Here is a 17,080-nt window from a genome sequence, read left to right on the forward strand (position 1 = left end):
GGCCGCTTCCTGAACCTGTCGGGTTAGGCCTTCCCACGACTCCTGACTCACCAACGGGTGAGAGGAAAAGCCCTTATCATGGCCAACCAGGTTCTATGTAATCTGTCTACACACACACCCACCACCCACCCACACACACACACACACACACACACACACACAATCATGGTCAACCAGGTTCTATGTAATCTGTCTACACACACACCCACCCACACACACCCACACACACACACACACACGCCACGCTCCAACCTCTTTTGCTACTGTGCTCCCCCAACTCCCTGCCTTCTAAAATAGCCACATGCATCCTCTCAATAGTCGTCAAACACACCAAGCCCCCTGCCTGGGACACTGTCCCCACATATTCCATCACTCGCTCCACTTCTTCCAGTTTTTGCTCCAATGTCACCTTTCAGCCGCGCATGGTCGGTGCCTCACGCCTATAATCCCAGCACATTGGGAGGCCGAGGCGGGTGGATCACCTGAGGTCAGGAGTTCGAGAGCAGCCTGGCCAACATGGTGAAACCCCATCTCTACTAAAAATACAAAACTTAGCCTGGTGTGGTGGCAGGCGCCTGTAATCCCAGCTACTTGGGAGGCTGAGGCAGGAGAATCACTTGAACCCAGGAGGCAGAGGTTGCAGTGAGCCAAGACTGTGCCATTGCACTCCAGCCTGGGCAATAAGAGTGAAAATCCATCTAAAAAAATAAATTGTTGAATTAATTAATGAAGGCTGAGACAGGAGGATTACTTGAGGCCAGGCGTTCAAGACCAGCCTGGACAACATAGTGAGACTCTGTCTCTACAAAAAAATTAAAAATCAGCCCGTTGTGGTGGTGCACACCTGTAGTCCCAGCTACTTAGGAGGCTGAGGCAGGAGGACTGCTTGAGCCAGGAGCTCGAGGCTGCAGTGAGCTATGATTGCACCACTGTACTCCAGTCCGGATAAAAGAGTGAGACCCTGTCTCTAAAAACAATTAATTAGTTAATTAATTAATGGGGTTTATAAGTGAGGAGCCTGAGGCTCAGAGAGCTAACTTGCCCATAGTCACAGGGTTGGAAGAACCAAGACTTGAACCTAAGACCCCTGGCTCCACACCTGGAAGGAACTCCATACCACCTGGTCCCGCCGATGATGCCTGGGACTTTCCTGCTGGGAAGCCCATCTCTGGGGTGACAAGAGGCTGCCCATAGTCACTGAAGAGCATCCCGGAGGGGTGGGTGGGGGCCTCGGAGGCGAGCAGGGGCCAGAACTCTGGCTCCAGGGCCTTGCGCAACACAGCCAGACAGCCAGGCCTCAGTGACTGTACTCAGCGCTTGTTCCCGTGGGCATCGGCAACAGGAAAAAACAGGCTGGAACAGCCCGGCAGCTGTGGCCAAGGAGGTCGGCTCCCCCTGCCCCCAGGCTGGGCTTTCCTCATCTGCTGTAAGGAAGAAGAGGAAGGGGCAGGCAGGGCCAGGCCCATGGCTGAGATAGGCCTGTGGAGAGCAGAGCTGGAAATCAGAGCAAGGGGTCCTCGTCCTGAAGCGCCCCATGTCTGCTTTCTTCATGTCCTTTCCTGGACACAGAAACTCTCGGATGGGAATAGGCGCGGGGGAGACAAACACATCTGGGAAAGGCTGGTTACACAAAGCTGAGCTGCCTCCCTAAGTCCTAAATGACTGAAGCAACATGATGGGACTGGGGGGTGGGGGGGGGTCACGTGCAACTATTTGGTGTTTCCCAAGTTGCTTAACTTGGAACCTTTTATGTATGCAAGGCTCACTAGACTAGGGTTCCACAGAACACACTTTGGGAACACCACCCCAACCATCCCGCCTTTCCCTCAAGTTAGCCTTAAGTAAGATTTTAGACGTAAGATATGCTCCCCAGTACCCAGGGGCTCTGTAAAGGAGGCTCTTGAAGATAAGAAAAGCCGCAAGGCCCCATGGAAGGAAAAGCGGGCTGGCGGCCGGCTAGCTGGTAGTAGGAGGGGTGTGTTCTCTCTCCTCAGGGTGATTGACACCTGTCACCTGAGAAATCCAGACACAGCCTGAGCCTTCCCTCCCTGGCCATCAGTCTGCTCTCTCAGGGGGTGACTCCTGTCGGAGGTGAAAGAGAAGGTGGCCCAGCACCCAGTCATTCCTGGTCCGCTTGGACCCTCCAGAAAGTCTGGAGGTACCTGTGCCCCAGAGAGAAAGAGAGCTTCGTTCAGCTGCTGAGTGCAGAGACCGGGGCAGGGGCTCACTCCCAGGGCCGGCGACCATGCAGGTAAGGGGGTGCTGGTGCTCTTCAGGGCAGCGACTGAGAACAGGGCTCCCAACCAGCTCTGCTCGCTGGTCCCTTCCCTTCTCTGGGCCTCAGACTCCCCTCTGTCCGATGATGAAGCAGCCCTAGGTCATGGCTCTCCAGTCCATCCTCAGCAGCCTCAGGGCCACTCTGGACAGGAGTGAGGTGGAAGCGGGGCACCGTTAGAGTTTGGGCCCCTTCCCAAACACTCACTTTCATCAAAACACATCCAATTTTTTTTTAACAGGGTTCTGCTCTGTCGCCCAGGCTGGAGGGCAGTGGGCCTCCTCAGAGCCTCCTAGGCTCAAGATATCCTCCTGCCTCAGCCTTCCAAGTAGCTGGGAGTATAGGTGTACATCACTACATCTGGCTAATTTATTTTTTGTAGAGATGAGGTCTCGCTATGTTGCCCAGGCTGGTCTCGAACTCCTGGTTTCAAGCGATCCTCCTGCCTCGGCCTCCTAAAGTGCTGGGATTACAGGCATGAGCCACTGTGCCCGGCTACAAATCCACCTCTTTCCTTTCTATATTCTCACCTACATAAATATCTGGTTCAGCCCTTGGTTAGCTGTGAGGCCATGAGCAAGTCATTTCTCCTCTCTGTGCCTCCGTTTCCTCATGTGTAAAATGGGCACGATCATTCATAGTAATAATATCTATCTCATACGGCTGTTGTGAGGGTTAAATACAGATGTAAAATGCTACAGATAACACAGCACATGGTGAATGTTCTATAAGTGTTTGCTGCCTTTCGGCCGGAACCGCCATCTTCCAGTAATTCGCCAAAATGACGAACACAAAGGGAAAGAGGAGAGGCACCCAATAGATGTTCTCCAGGCCTTTTAGAAAACATGGAGTTGTTCCTTTGGCCACGTATATGCGAATCTATAAGAAAGGTGATATTGTAGACATCAAGGGAATGGGTACTGTTCAAAAAGGAACGCCCCACAAGTGTTACCATGGCAAAACTGGAAGAGTCTACAATGTTATCCAGTATGCTGCTAGCATTGTTGTAAACAAACAAGTTAAGGGCAAGATTCTTGCCAAGAGAATTAATGTGCGTATTGAGCACATTAAGCACTCTGAGAGCCGAGATAGCTTCCTGAAACGCGTGAAGGAGAATGATCAGAAAAAGAGAGAAGCCAAAGAGAAAGGTACCTGGGTTCAACTAAAGCGCCAGCCTGCTCCACCCAGCAAAGCACACTTTGTGAGAACCAATGGGAAGGAGCCTGAGCTGCTGGAACCTATTCTCTATGAATTCACGGCATAATAGGTATTTAAAAAAAAAAAAAGACCTCTGGGCTGTTAAAAAAAAAAAAGTGTTTGCTGTGATTATCTTTGTTATTTTGATTAAAATAAGGGTCTCACTGCTTAATGAGTTTGAAAGCCATCAACTTAAACGACCCCAAAGCTTCCTCTGGTTTTGATATTTTAGAGCACTGACACTCTAAAACATTAGGATTCTAAAATTCTAGGCTGTGTCCCACCTGCAAAAGGAACAGGGCTAAAGGAGGGGATTACAAAGTCAGGACAGGCTGGGTGCGGTGGCTCACGCCTATAATTCCAGCACTTTGGGACTGGTGGTCAGGAGTTCGAGACCAGCCTGACCAACATGGTGAAACCCCGTCTCTACTAAAAAATACAAAAATTAGCCGGGCATGGTGGCACATGCCTGTAATCCCAGCTACTTGGGAGGCTGAGGCAGGAGAATCGCTTGAACCCGGGAGGTGGAGGTTGCAGTGGGCCAAGATGGCGCCATTGCACTCCAGCCTGGGCGACAGAGTGAGACTCCATCTCAAAAAACAAAAACAGAAACAATGTCAGGACAGAGCCAGAAGGAGTCAGGCTGCAGAGACCCGCTGAGCAAAGGGTCATCATCACCATCATCCTCATCATTCATTTATACCTCCCCTCTTGCCCTGTTCCAAAAAGGCTGCAGACAGCTTACAAAGATGCACACTTAACAGCCAAGAGAATATTAACTAAAGAAATATAAGAAAAACTCAGGCAGGGCAGGCAGATGGAGCCTGGAGTGAGGCAAGCAGACAGAGAGCACATGCTGAATCCCAGAGATCTAGGAAAGGGACAACTCATGTGGCCCTGAGCTTGCCAGCAGCCAATGGGAAGAAGGAAACCTGACCAGTCCCTAGATTCCATGTCTCACAATGTAAAAACAAACCAGTTGCTTAGAAAAAGCACAACTATCCCTGATACTGAGAGCAGGGAATGTCCCAAGGGACAGGCTTGTCTGGCACCCTTCTCTGCCTCATCAGTGGGGCTGGCATCCCCTCAGAGTCTGCTGACCATGACCCTTTGAAGCTGAAGCCAGGGGCAGAGGCTACAGTGATCAAAGATTCAGGGAGCTGGAATGGCAGTCCAGTCAGTACCCCACCAACCTCACCCCAGCAGCCTTGGTCTAGGCAGGATTACCCATCACTCCCCAAACCCGAACACAGCCAGTGCCCAAAATAGCTAGAGCAGGAGAGGGTGCCAAGAGGCCCTGGCAAGGGCCTGGGCTAGGCCCACCTACAGGAGGGCCCAGTGGGCCAATGCACACATACCTCTGGTGCACAAAGAGGCACCTTCAGTCAGGCACAGAGCCGTCCCTGGGAGTCCCCCACCCACCAGGCTCCCCCCTCAGCTGCACGTTGCTCACGCAGAACTTGAGCTGCTGCTCCACCCTTCCCACAAAGCAGGCCTTCCTGCCTGAGCCAGACTAGAAAAGCCTTCCACAGAAATGCCACCGCACCATATAGGGAAGTGCCTGAAGACCTCCCCGCCCCACCTCCAGAATCTGCCAGAATCAGCCCCCTCAGGATCCTCCATGGCGATGTTGGTTCCTCCCTGGGTCCCCCAGCTGCAGACCAACACAATGGGGGCTATTCTGGGCTGCACGGGGTATTTAAAGCTCTGACTGGGCCTCCTCCCTGGGGAACAAAAGGCCTTGCCCTCCGTAAGACCTTCCTGAAATTGTTCCTGCCCAGACTGTGGTGGCTGCATCCTGTACTGTTCCCCACCTCCCCTGCCAGGCCCTGAGGCCCTGTAAGATTCAGCACAAAATGCCTCCTCCAGGAAGCCCACAGGGCTGCCTCCTGTGCTCAGCAGCACTGCCTGAGACCCTCAGAAAAGCTGGGTCCTGGCTCAACTCTGCCATCGATCTTCTCTGGGTCCCAGTTTTCTCATCTGCAAAATATGGATGTGAATCCCAGTGTGTGAAAGCACTCCAGAGGCTTCCATGGTTAGGATGAGTAGTGTCTCTCCAGCCACTTTGTGAAGCAGAATATAAGCAGGAACGGGAATTGGTCTGTTTTGTCGCTGCCCTTTTTCTAGCACCTGGCACACAGTAGGTGCCAAATAAATATTTACTGACTGATACAAATATTTAAAGAATGTGTCTGTAGCCTCCATAGAACCACCCAGAATGCCAGGCACACAGGTGGTTAATACCCTCGATGGTAACGTTGCCAGCTCTCAGCTTGAGCACAAAGAACACATCAAGCCTTATGCTAAGTACCTGATGTTAATTATCTGATTTAATTTGCTCAACAGTCCCAAGAGGTCGGTACCATTATCTTATTTCACAAGCAAGAAAACGGGAGTTCCAGTCCAGGTGGTTAAGCAGCTCGCCTGAGGTCGCAAATGGCCAAGCTGGGAGTCAAGCCCAGGAGCCCTGAAGCCCCTGGCATCCTGCGCCAAATGCACATTGAAGAAAGGCAGTCGGAGAGCACTGGGTGGGGAGCCAGGAGCCTGAAGTCAGCCACTAAGCTGTGTGACTTCAAGCAAGTTGCTTGGCCTCTCTGAATCAGTTTTCTCTTCCATAAAAACAAGGGCATGAATTCCTCTTCTTCAGGTCGTTGGTAGGATCAAAGGAACCAAAGATGTGACTCTGTCTCCCACACTAGCCCCAGCCCCTCCCCAAGGGCAGCAGCTGTGAAGGATGGTGGGAAGATGTACTGGGAGGAGGGGGCTACCCAGAGCTGGCCCCAGAACAAAGCTCCACAGCTGCTGACAACAGCTGGGGAGAGCTCTGGGCCTGGCCCAAGCAGGGGGAGAATGGGCAGGCTGGGAAGTCACCTCTGGCCCTCCTCTGTCACCCTTCCCTGCTGACAGCTGCTGAGGCCTCAGGGCCAAGGGCCCCAGAGCAGGCAGGGAGTGGGGGTGTGGAGGGGGTGGGCGGGCTGGCTGGGGTCATCTTAGTCCTCATGCTGTCAACTGCTCAAGCCTCAGGGTGCCTGGCCTCGCTGTCCCATAGCACAGCCCTTTACCCAGTTCCCTGGGAAGCCTGGGTGGAGAGGCCGGAGCAAAGGTCTGGGGCTGAACATGCCTTAACTGGAGCCTGGCCTGCTCCAGGGCCCCCGTGGGGAGGTGCAGGGCCGGGAGGGAGGGAGTCCTGAAGAGGCTTGCAATTTCCCTGGTGCACAGCCCCACTGCAGGCCCTTCAGGAAACGTCCCTGGAGGCTGTGAGCTTGGCCCACCCCAGCCCATCTCAGCCCCCTCAGCTGCCGGCCAGCCCAGCTCCACTCCCAGTTCGGTGCCAAGCCTTTCCAGCCCGCTCCAGCCCACGCAGCTCTCTCTCCTCTGAACTCTCACATACCCATAATTACAACTGACCATATTTTCCAAAGCAGAAATCAAGAAACCACTAAATAAAGGATTTCTGGGCTACTTCTGAGTGTCAGAGGCAGCCTGGGAGGTGAAGTTTGGATGCAGAGGTATTCAAATCTCTGAGACACGTTGATAGTTTTTTGCGATGACTACTATATCTATCATATTTTATTAATAAGTCAAAGCCATCCTAGGAAATGTGTGTTGGGCACATGCCACCCCATACCACTGTTAACTGTTGACTGGACACTTTAGCCTGGCAGTTTCCTAGCTGTGTGGCCCTGGGCAAATCACTTGACCTCTCTGAGCCTCTGTGTCTTCATCTGTAAAATGGGAATAAAAATGACCCCCTCACAAGGCTGCCGTCAGAATTCAACAGGACAACCTAAGTGCTAGTATCAGGCACTTACGAGGTGTAAGTACCACTTCTTCCTTCTCTCCCAGTCCTATCCACCCCAGAGCTCACACACCAAGTGAGTGAGCTCTCCAAAGACCCCCGGGGAGAATGAGACACAAGAGAAACCTGCCTGCAAAAGGTTCCAATGCATTCCTGGATCCTGTACTGTCCAAGCTGGGAGGGATCACCTAGCCAACACCCTCACTTATCAGATGGGGAAACCAAATCCCAAAGAAGGGAAGTGAGCATGTTATGGGGAACCAACCAGACTTGGAGGGCCTGGGTTCAATCCCATCTCTGACACTTCCGGCTGCTGGGGAACTTTATCACTTTGAGCCTCATTTTTGTGCCTCCCATACCCCCATAATGTTGGATTAATAATTATTGCTGGGCGCAGTGGCTTGTGTCTGTAACCCCAGCAATTTGGGAGGCCGAGGCAGGCGGATTACTTAAGATCAGGAGTTTGATACCAGCCTGGCCAACACGGTGAAACCTCATCTCCACTAAAAATATAAAAATTAGCACAGCATGGTGGCATGTGCCTATAATCTCAGCTACCTGGGGAGCTGAGGCAGGAGAATCACTTGAACCCGGGAGGCGGAGGTTGCAGTGAGCTGAGATTGCACCACTGCACTCCAGCCTGGGCGAAAGAGTGAGGCTCTAGCTCAAAAAAAAAAAAAAAGCTGGATTATGTATACAGAGTGTTAAGAATGGTGCTTTTGGGCAGCCGTGAGAAGAGAGAGGAGCCTCCCAGCAACTCGATTGGCAGAGGCAGATCCAGGACCCAGCCTCTTGGTTCCTAACAAAGGGTCATTTACCTTTCACGAAGCCACCTCCTCCTCTCCTTGGGGCAAGGATTCTCAAAGGCCAGGATAAGGGGCTACACAGATGAGGCCTCTGGGAGGGTGGCAATGGGCTAGGTCTTTGTGGGGGTGCTAATCAGGGCCAGAGCCCTCAGTCTCAACCTCTGGCACCCAGAGCTGGTCCCTCCAGCCTGTCTTCAAGCCCCAGTCAGACAGGCCCAGCCTAGGAAATGGCAGGAAGGGCTGGCAAGGGAGGGATGCCGTGTCCTTGGCAAAGAGAATGCGACATCCCAGGGACTCGGGTTACCGGAAATGGTAAATCTCCCCGCTGCCTGTCACCTTCGACCAGGAATGTCTGCTGCCCCAGGGAACATCCTGTCCACCTGCCCTCAGACAGCCCACGGACAGCCAGGAACCTGGACCCACTCTCTGCTCCCTGCCCAACCCCCAGGCCTTAGGTTAGCTGCTGGGTCCCCCCAGCCAAAGGGTACCTGTCATTCTGGGGCAGTGAGCCCGGCTGTAACTAACTGACCAATCCCAGGGAAGGAGCCATCCTAGGAAATGTGTGCTGGGCACAGGGAAGGAGGAGAAGGCTAGAAGGGGAACCCCCAAAAGATTGAGAGCTACCCCCAAATCTGATCCATCCAATCCCATCATACGTGGATTCTGAGTCCCCAGTTTGGATGAAGGCTCTGATCTCATAAACCCAACACAAGAGGCAGTACAGTGTGAGTTCTGGGTGGGACTAACCCAGCCGGAGGCATGGCTCTGCCGCTTGCCAGCTGGGTGGCTCTGGGTAAGGCACTGCAGTGCCTTCCGCCCTCAATTCTAATACAAAAGTGACAGCAGCCTGTGACAGGAACCTGTGAAATTTGTGGCGCTAAGCTGTGAGTCATTTAGCCCAGGATCTGGTGTGTAGAGAGGGCCCAGTAAACAGTGGCTATTAGGTATTGGGAAGTATTAGAAAGAGAAGGGGGAAAAAACAGTAATCATTATAGGAGCAGGTACTATGAGCCACACAATGTTCTCTGCCCTTGCTGGTGCTGACCGTCTACTTGGAGACCGATGGACCATAAATTAATACCCCAAATATACATGTCAAATGGTGAGAGTGCTGAAAAGGAAATACAGCAGGGTGAGGGGACGGGGAGTGGCCTGTTGAGGGTTGCTATTTCCCTGGGTATGGAGGGTGATGCTGACAGAGCAAGTCAGGTGCATACTTAGAGGAAGAGCACCCAGGCACCAGGAGCAGCATCTATAAAGACCCCAGAGGCAGGAGGAGCCTCAGAATGTTTTGGAAAACAGCCAGGAGGCCGGTTATCTAACCCCCATGACTGCCCTGAGAGCTAGGTGTAATTGTCTCTATCCCCCGGAGGAGAATCTGGCAGGGCCAGGATCTGACCCTCCATAGCCAGGTGTCCAGGGACGACTGGCTTCACAACTCCCATGGGGAGGAGCAGAAAGGTAGAAAAGCGCAGGTGTCTGAGTCCAAGCTCTGATTCTTCCAGGGATTGGCCATGTGATCTCAGACCAGCTGCAGCTCCTTGCAGGGCCTCAATGTCCTTGTCACTCATGGGCTAGAGATGCCTGTTCCATCCACTTCGCAGATGACTTTCTCCTCCCCAAAAGGAAGGGGAGGAGAAAGGATGGTGCTGGGAGGTGACCTTGAGCTTCTCTGGCATCTCAGGCCAAAGCTCCTCCCCGGGCAGGTGTGAATGCCAGGTGCAGACCCTGCCCACCTGAACTGCCCAGAGCAACCACCTGCCTGACCCCCAAAAGCTCACATCCTGCCTATGCCTGCCTGGGCCTTGTCCCACTCAGCACCCAGAGCCCAGCCACAGCCACGGCCTCTGTCCTGCACTCTGGTTCTGGGTGTCAGACGTCCCTCACCCCCAGGGCCCAGCCCAGGACCGGCTCCTTATGTTCCTGACCAGGCGGAGGGTCCATGATTGGCCTTTGTTACCTTTGTTACCAAGGGTGCCAGCGGGCCAGCCCTCACGGGCACCCGGCCAGATCGTGAGGCCCAGCCAAGTGCAAACAGCACACTTGGCGCCCTGATACGGGCGCGTTAGAGCGGGCAGGGTGCCCCCGTCACAACAAACCATCATCTCTACACCGCTAAGGGGCCCAGGCAGCCGGCACCTCTGCTGGGAGCTGGGGACTAGGGACTGCCAGGGGAGGCCTCCTCCCCTTCTCCCACTGGGAATGGGTAGTGGGAATTTCGGAGCCCGGACATGGAGATTCCAGATGCCAGCAGCTGAAAGGGCAGATATGCAGACAGGCTGCAGGGAGCACGTGGGAAAATAACAGGGGCAGAGGAGCTGGATGAAGGCAAGTCATGGAGTTTTTCACATTATGGGTGTGGTCAGGCAAAGGGAGAGTGAGAGGCTGCCGAGAAGAAAGCAGGAAGAGCCCAGCAGAGAGAGGAGCAGCAAGAAGAACCAATGAGAGCTGGAACGGTTCCAATATGGGACAGGGAACCAGGGATAATGACCACAGCAACTCCTTCCAGCAATACCCAGCACTTAACATACACAGCGCTTCCGACAGAACTTTCTGGTGCAATGGAAATGTTGCGTGCCTGCACTCATCCAATAAGATAGCTACTAAGCGCTTCAAATGAGGCTAGTACCATCAAGAAACTGAATTTTTTGCCGGGCATGGTGGCTCACGCCTATAATCCCAGCACTTTGGGAGGCCGAGGTGGGCGGATCACCTGAGGTCAGGAGTTCGAGACCAGCCTGGCCAACATGGTAAAACCACATCTCTACTAAAAATAAAAAAAATTAGCTGGGCGTGGTGGTGTGTGCCTGTAATCCCAGCTACTCGGGAGGCTGAGGAAGGAGAATTGCTTGAACCTGGGAGGCAGAGGTTGCAGTAAGCCGAGATCACACCACTGCATGCCAGCCTGGGTGACAGAGCAAGACTCCATCTCAAAAAAGAAAAGAAGAAGAAGAAAAAAAAAAAAAGGCCTGGCACGGTGACTCACGCCTGTAATCCCAGCACTTTGGGAGGCTGAGGCGGGCAGATCATGAGGTCAGGAGTTGGAGACCAGTCTGGCCAACATAGTGAAACTCCATCTCTACTAAAAATACAAAAAATTTGGTTGGGTGCGGTGGCTCACGCCTGTAATCCCAGCACTTTGGGAGACCGAGGCGGGTGGATCATGAGGTCAGGAGATCGAGACCATCCTGGCTAACACGGTGAAACCCTGTCTCTATTAGTAATACAAAAACACAATTAGTCAGGCGTGGTGGCGTGCACCTGTAGTGCCAGATACTCGGGAGGAGGAGGCAGGAGAATGGCATGAATCCTGGAGGCAAAGCTCGCGGTGAACCGAGATTGTGTCACTGCACTCCGGCCTGGGCAACAGAGCGAGACTCTGTCTTAAAAAAAATAAAAATAAATAAATAAATAACACAAAAAAAATTGCCAGTGTGGTGGTGTGTGCCTGTAATCCCCGTTACTCCAGAGGCTGAGGCAGGAGAATTGCGTGAACCCAGGAGGCAGAGGTTGCAGTGAGCCGAGATTGCGCCATTGCACTCCAGCCCAGGCGACAGTGCGAGACTCCATCTCAAAAAAAAAAAAAAGAAACTGAATTTTTATTTAAAACTTTATTTAATTTTAAATTTTGCATTAAATAGTCACGTGTGACTAGCAGTTACCATATCAGACAGTGCAGATTATACCATCATTGATCCTTAGGCCAAGGCTGGAGATGGAGCTATCTCCATTTTACAAAGGAGGAAACTGAGGTTTGCCAAGGCTGCACAGCTGTAGGCTGCAGAGGCAAAATCGGAACCAGGCCTGGCTCTGCCACAGGGCTCCCCACCCATGGTTATTGTCAAGGCTGGAAACGGCTAACGGAAATCGAACATGTGTGGTGATAAGGCTGCCTCGTTAATCAAGATATCAAGTCTGTCTGCTTTTGGCCTGAATTCTGTCAGCTACACCAGTTATCACACGCTGACCAGAAGTTCTGACCGCCTGTTTACAAAGGTCTTTGATTTTTTCACACTAAGAAAGGGCAGAATGGCTGGGCGCGGTGGCACATGCCTGTAATCCTAGCTCTTCGGGAGGCTGAGACAGGTGGATTGCTTGAGCCCAAGAAGTTTGGGACCAGACTCAGCAACATGGCGAGACCCCGTCTCTATGAAAAATACAAAAATCAGCCAAGTGTGGTGGTGTGTGCTTATGGTCCCAGCTACTCGGGAGGCTGAGATGGGAGGATCACTTGAGCCCAGGAGGTCGAGGCTGCAGTGGGCCATGATCGTGCCACTGCATTCCAGCCTGGGTGACAGAGCAAGACCCTGTCTCAAAAGTAAATAAATAAATAAATAAATAAATAAATAAATAAATAAATAAATAAAAATAAAAGACAGGGCAGAATGGGGATGGAACAGTCCCAGTTGGTCGAGAAGCCATGTCTTTAAGAACACTGAGAATCTTCAATGGCAAAAAAGCTGGGCTTGGACTTCTCCACCCATCAGCCCCCTGAGGCTCCTAAGAACTGGACGACACCCACTCAGGGTAACACAGGGCACATTTGCCTGCCTCTAGGCCTTTAGTCATGTGGTTCCCTCTTCTTGGAATGCTGTTCCCATGCCCTTCGAGCTAATCTATTCATCCATCCTTCAAGGCCCACTCAATCACCACCTCCACTCTAAAGACTTTTTGGAACCCCTATAAAGACATCCTTCTCCCTACAAATATGTGGACTTAATTTCTACCTCAGAACACTAGAGATTCAGTCTTAATTATAATCACTTGAGTTACTGTCTCTTCTCTCCTGCTGGAACCAAAGCTCCTTGGGGACAGACACCAAGTTTTTTTTTTTCATCTTTTAAACATATGTATATATTCAACCTTTAGATACTTCCTAATGTCCAGCAGCTAGGGGATAATAAACAAATACTTACTATGTTGAACTGAATTATAATATTGGCTTATAAGTTTGAGGACTCAATTTCTTATGGCTCTTCCCGAGCCTCCTGTGATCCCAGCAGAGGAGTCCAGACCCTTCCCTGCACTGAACTTCAATGTGTACCTCTGTAAAATGGGACAACAGGCCGTGTGCAGTTGCTCACGTCTGTAATCTCAGCACTTTGGGAGGCCGAGGCAGGCGGATCACCTGAGGTCAGGAGTTCGAGACCAGCCTGGCCAACATAGTAAAACCCTGTCTCTACTAAAAATACAAAAATTAGCAGGGTGTGGTGGCGCACACCTGTAGTCCCAGCTTCTTGGGAGGCTGAGGCAGGAGAATCACTTGAACCTGGAAGGCAGAGGTTGCAGTGAGCCAAGATGGCGCCACTGCACTCCAGCATGGGCAACAAAGTGAGACTCTGTGGGAATAAAAAAAAAAAAAAGGAGGGGTGGGACAATAATAGTACCTGCCTTATTGGGAGATTATTTGTACTTACTATATTTATTTAACACTATGTGCCATATACTTGACAAACATTGAGTTATCTTCCCAACAGCCCCACAAGATCGGTATTATTATTACCACCCTCATTCTATAGAGGAGGGAAGTGATGGTGAAATTAAATAGATCAAAGAGCTAATGCAACTCAAGTGCTCAGTATAGTGTGTGGCACATGCTACATACTAAATAAATTGTATTAACAGTTGTGGAGCTTTATTTCTGAATAATAAAGGGTCTACAGAATTAGGGGAAATTGAGGATACTTCCCCAGGGCTGGGCACATAGTCAGCGTTCTCCAAATATTTGCTCCTAGACCGTCTCAGTCCCAGATGTACCAGTGATAGATGGGAGAACCCTAACTAAGTCCAGGGCCACCCCTCTCTGATTCCCCTCCCCACTGGGCTCCTCCCCCTCTCCTCTGATCTATAGGGCAGTGGCTGCTGCTGCCCGCCCTACAGGCCATGTCAGTAGAGAACCGCTTTCCTGCCCCCATCTTTCCCCAAAGGCAGGCAGCATGGAATGACTTTGGGGAAATGACCTTTGTCCAGCTGTGCCGAGCCTGCAGGTGAATGGAAACAAGAGAGTCTGATTAAGTCTCAAAGGGGCTGGGCGCAGTGGCTCAGGCCTGTAATCCCAGCACTTTGAGCAACCAAGGCTGGCGGATCACTTGAGGTCGGGAGTTTGAGACCAGCCTGGCCAACATGGTGAAACCCCGTCTCTACTAAAAATACAAAAATTAGCTGGGTGTGGTGGTGTGCACCTGTAATCCCAGCTACTTGGGAGGCTGAGGCAGGAGAATCGCTTGAACTCAGGAGGCGGAGGTTGCAGTGAGCCAAGATTGTGCCACTGCACTCCAGCCTGGGTGACAGAGCAAGACCCTGTCTCAAAAAAAAAAAAAAAAAGTCTCAAAAGCAAGTAATACTCTCAACTTTCTTCAGTCCTGTCAGGGGCTTTGACACCCTATTCTTCACTGAACCCCCACCTGGACCAAAGAAAGGGAAGAAGGGAAGAATCTGGGAAGAGTATGAGCATTGATGGAGTTTCTATGGCAGTCATCTCTCCAGGGGTGGTTTTCAGGATGAAATGAGACAGCAGACGGAAAGCAGCCCTTCTCCAGCTTTAACGAGCACATGAGTCACTTGGAGATCTTGTCGGCGTGCAGATTCTGAGTCAGTAGGTCCAAGGGGGCCTGAAACTCTGCATTTCTGACAAGCTCCCAGTTGAGGCCCGGGCTGCTAGTGCCTGGACCATCCTCGGAGTTATAAGAACATAAAGGGATTACTGCACACAGTAGGCCCTCCGTAAAAGTGAGCTATGCCTTTGTTTCTTGTGATTTGATCTATAAGAAATTCTCCTAAGGGACTGGAACTGTTTTTTCTTTTTTGAGACAGAGTCTCGCTCTGTTGCCCAGGCTGGAGTGCAGTGGCACAATCTTGGCTCATTGCAACTGCCGCCTCCCGGGTTCAAGCGATTCTACTGCTTCAGCCTCCCAGGTAGCTGGGATTACAGGCATGCACCACCACACCCAGCTAATTTTCATATTTTTAGCAGAGATGAGGTTTCACCATGTTGGCCAGGCTGGTCTCGAACTCCTGGCCTCGAGTGATCCGCCAGCCTTGGCCTCCCAAAGTGCTGGGATTACAGGCGTGAGCCACCGTGCGTGGCTGGAACTGTTTTTCCACTGCTGCTAATACTGAGGTCCACTGAGGTTGAGGGGTTTGCCCAAGCACAGAAGGCTAGAAAGAGGCAGAGGCAGGATTCAAGGCCAAGTCTGCCAAGTCACCCTTCTCATGCATCACCCCACCCTAAACCCCACCCGCCTCGAGTAGCAGCCACAGGCGTGGAGCTGAAGACACCCCAGCTCTGCCCCTCAGGCCAGTCACCGGCTCCTTGCTGGGTCAGCCAGGCCTCCGGGCAGAGGCCCAGGCTCCCTAAAAAGAGGCGCTGGGCCATCACTTTCACTCCACTAGCAGCAGCTTCCAGTGGTTCCCCCCACATCGCCTTATAAAGTGGTCCAAGCTGCTCTTTTCCAGGCTGCAGTTTAATGTTATATGGAGTGAACTGACCGTACTCTCTCTGCAACCTCAGCCTGCCTGCTTCACACATTCCTGTTGGAGCAACATTACCTAATTTAACCATAGCCCCTGCTCTCCGGGGCTCTCAAAATAGCAGCTGCCAGTAGGGGAAAATGCCCTAATGTTATCAAAATAAAACAGTTCTCCCTCCTCCCCCACTCCTGGACTTCGCCAGCAGCAGGACCCAGCCCAGGGAGGAATCCAGGCTGAGAGGTCTGAGGTGGGCCTAGCGTGGCTGAGATCTCTGCTAAGCCCCTGTTCTCTTCATCCTTCCAGCCCTTTCCTACATGCCCTCTTCAAACATGTGTCTGGGATCTGCCTATGCCTCCTCCCCCGGGCAGATCTTCCAGCTCATCCCCAACGGCCATTGTCACCCTGGTTACCCAAGACGAAGATTCAATTTCCCTTTCTCCTAATAACAAAAACTATAACAGTAATATAACAATTGCTGCCATTCCCCAGGTATTAATTGTGAACTAAATACCTCCCTCCCAGTGGCTCGCTGCCATTGCAAAGTAGGGATTAGCATTCTCTTCTTTCAGATAAGAAAGCAGCCACTCAGAAAGGTAAAGTGACTTGCCCAAGGTCATACAGCCCAGAACTGGCAGAGTTGGGGGTTGGAAGCCAAGCTCAGCTGCCCCAAAGCCCTAATCATCAGGACTCCTGTGCAGGGTCTGAGCCTGGGAGAGGAGGAGTGCAGGATTTTCTGTGCTAGAAGCGGCTTCCTTGCCTTGTGTATTATTGCAGGATCTGTTCATACAGCTGCCACCAAACCACAGGGCCTGTTACTATACCAGAGTTCACATTGCACCTAGACCCTGTGGGCCCTAAGACTGTCTCCGGGACCCCAGGTGCACAAGCTACCTGTCAATATGTGACTCCAAGCCCCTGCTTCCCTGCCCCGCATACCCCAGAGCAGGCTGCCACATTAAAGCAGGGAACACCGGACTACTGACATACCTCGGGTGCAACCAGTGGTTAAGGGGCTGGGAGGGTCCCCTCTGCTGCTCTCCTGCTCACTCAGAGTAATCATTAACCAGCGCAGAGCCAGTGTGGAAAGCAGGCAGAAGCCCGGGCTGCGGCACCCCCAGCATCCGCTCCTCCCTACTGAGTGTGTCCTGGGGCCACTTCTGTTAAGCCCAGCTGGCCTGGTGAGGCCTCTGGCAGTGGAGAGGGAAAGCTTGGACCACCAGCTGTCCAGGAAGGCTCAACCTGCTATCCCTAGGGAAGGTCCCTGAGAGCATTTACAGAGCCTTCGGCCCCCTGCACTCACACTCCTTCCCACCTTGCTCCCCTCCCAACATTATGAAGATCCCATAAGAAAAGAGTGTTGGAGGAGAGGATGGACTCTGGGACTTAGGGCCTTCCCATAGCGGGGGTGAGGTGGCAGGTGGGGTTGCAGGGGGACGACACAATAGAACTGAGACCCAGAGGTTTATCTAGGACCAAGTACCAGGGGCTCTCTCGAAGGAGGAAAGATAAAATCACAAAATAATAGTTCCCGTT

The 17,080-nt window shown here is 52.1% G+C and overlaps 1 protein-coding gene and 1 pseudogene across 5 annotated transcripts in view, besides 12 other annotated features; one reads left to right on the plus strand and one right to left on the minus strand.

Moving 5' to 3' along the window:
- HSPG2 (heparan sulfate proteoglycan 2) overlaps positions 1 to 17,080 on the minus strand; it is a 115,067-nt gene that overhangs the window by 82,798 nt on the left and 15,189 nt on the right. The gene's annotated exons all lie outside the window — the stretch shown is intronic.
- RPL21P29 (ribosomal protein L21 pseudogene 29) lies at positions 3,017 to 3,573 on the plus strand (annotated as a pseudogene).
- Positions 4,376 to 5,092: an enhancer, noted in NCBI's record as "H3K27ac-H3K4me1 hESC enhancer chr1:22235910-22236626 (GRCh37/hg19 assembly coordinates)". NCBI's record gives its function as "activates a minimal SCP1, AML or CMV promoter by ChIP-STARR-seq in primed H9 embryonic stem cells {active_cell/tissue: H9 hESC(primed)}" and the evidence as "EXISTENCE:reporter gene assay evidence [ECO:0000049][PMID:30033119]".
- Positions 4,376 to 5,096: a biological region, named in NCBI's record as "H3K27ac-H3K4me1 hESC enhancer GRCh37_chr1:22235910-22236626".
- Positions 4,807 to 4,856: an enhancer, noted in NCBI's record as "active region_342". NCBI's record gives its function as "activates an Ori minimal core promoter by ATAC-STARR-seq in GM12878 lymphoblastoid cells {active_cell/tissue: GM12878}" and the evidence as "EXISTENCE:reporter gene assay evidence [ECO:0000049][PMID:35858748]".
- Positions 4,917 to 4,976: an enhancer, noted in NCBI's record as "active region_343". NCBI's record gives its function as "activates an Ori minimal core promoter by ATAC-STARR-seq in GM12878 lymphoblastoid cells {active_cell/tissue: GM12878}" and the evidence as "EXISTENCE:reporter gene assay evidence [ECO:0000049][PMID:35858748]".
- Positions 5,027 to 5,096: an enhancer, noted in NCBI's record as "active region_344". NCBI's record gives its function as "activates an Ori minimal core promoter by ATAC-STARR-seq in GM12878 lymphoblastoid cells {active_cell/tissue: GM12878}" and the evidence as "EXISTENCE:reporter gene assay evidence [ECO:0000049][PMID:35858748]".
- Positions 5,093 to 5,808: an enhancer, noted in NCBI's record as "H3K27ac-H3K4me1 hESC enhancer chr1:22236627-22237342 (GRCh37/hg19 assembly coordinates)". NCBI's record gives its function as "activates a minimal SCP1, AML or CMV promoter by ChIP-STARR-seq in primed H9 embryonic stem cells {active_cell/tissue: H9 hESC(primed)}" and the evidence as "EXISTENCE:reporter gene assay evidence [ECO:0000049][PMID:30033119]".
- Positions 5,809 to 6,524: an enhancer, noted in NCBI's record as "H3K27ac-H3K4me1 hESC enhancer chr1:22237343-22238058 (GRCh37/hg19 assembly coordinates)". NCBI's record gives its function as "activates a minimal SCP1, AML or CMV promoter by ChIP-STARR-seq in primed H9 embryonic stem cells {active_cell/tissue: H9 hESC(primed)}" and the evidence as "EXISTENCE:reporter gene assay evidence [ECO:0000049][PMID:30033119]".
- Positions 10,351 to 10,506: a silencer, noted in NCBI's record as "fragment chr1:22241885-22242040 (GRCh37/hg19 assembly coordinates)". NCBI's record gives its function as "represses an EF-1alpha promoter that drives an FKBP-Casp9 reporter gene in an ReSE screen in phorbol 12-myristate 13-acetate-treated (for megakaryocytic differentiation) K562 erythroleukemia cells {active_cell/tissue: K562(+PMA)}" and the evidence as "EXISTENCE:reporter gene assay evidence [ECO:0000049][PMID:32094911]".
- Positions 14,475 to 14,769: a silencer, noted in NCBI's record as "tiled region #4422; K562 Repressive DNase matched - State 5:Enh". NCBI's record gives its function as "represses a minimal TATA promoter and a strong SV40 promoter by Sharpr-MPRA in K562 cells {active_cell/tissue: K562}" and the evidence as "EXISTENCE:reporter gene assay evidence [ECO:0000049][PMID:27701403]".
- Positions 14,756 to 15,296: an enhancer, noted in NCBI's record as "H3K4me1 hESC enhancer chr1:22246290-22246830 (GRCh37/hg19 assembly coordinates)". NCBI's record gives its function as "activates a minimal SCP1, AML or CMV promoter by ChIP-STARR-seq in primed H9 embryonic stem cells {active_cell/tissue: H9 hESC(primed)}" and the evidence as "EXISTENCE:reporter gene assay evidence [ECO:0000049][PMID:30033119]".
- Positions 15,838 to 16,378: an enhancer, noted in NCBI's record as "H3K27ac-H3K4me1 hESC enhancer chr1:22247372-22247912 (GRCh37/hg19 assembly coordinates)". NCBI's record gives its function as "activates a minimal SCP1, AML or CMV promoter by ChIP-STARR-seq in primed H9 embryonic stem cells {active_cell/tissue: H9 hESC(primed)}" and the evidence as "EXISTENCE:reporter gene assay evidence [ECO:0000049][PMID:30033119]".
- Positions 16,574 to 16,741: a silencer, noted in NCBI's record as "fragment chr1:22248108-22248275 (GRCh37/hg19 assembly coordinates)". NCBI's record gives its function as "represses an EF-1alpha promoter that drives an FKBP-Casp9 reporter gene in an ReSE screen in phorbol 12-myristate 13-acetate-treated (for megakaryocytic differentiation) K562 erythroleukemia cells {active_cell/tissue: K562(+PMA)}" and the evidence as "EXISTENCE:reporter gene assay evidence [ECO:0000049][PMID:32094911]".

The sequence above is a fragment of the Homo sapiens genome, chromosome 1 (genome assembly GCF_000001405.40).
Source record: "Homo sapiens chromosome 1, GRCh38.p14 Primary Assembly".
NCBI classification, from domain to species: Eukaryota; Metazoa; Chordata; class Mammalia; order Primates; family Hominidae; genus Homo; species Homo sapiens.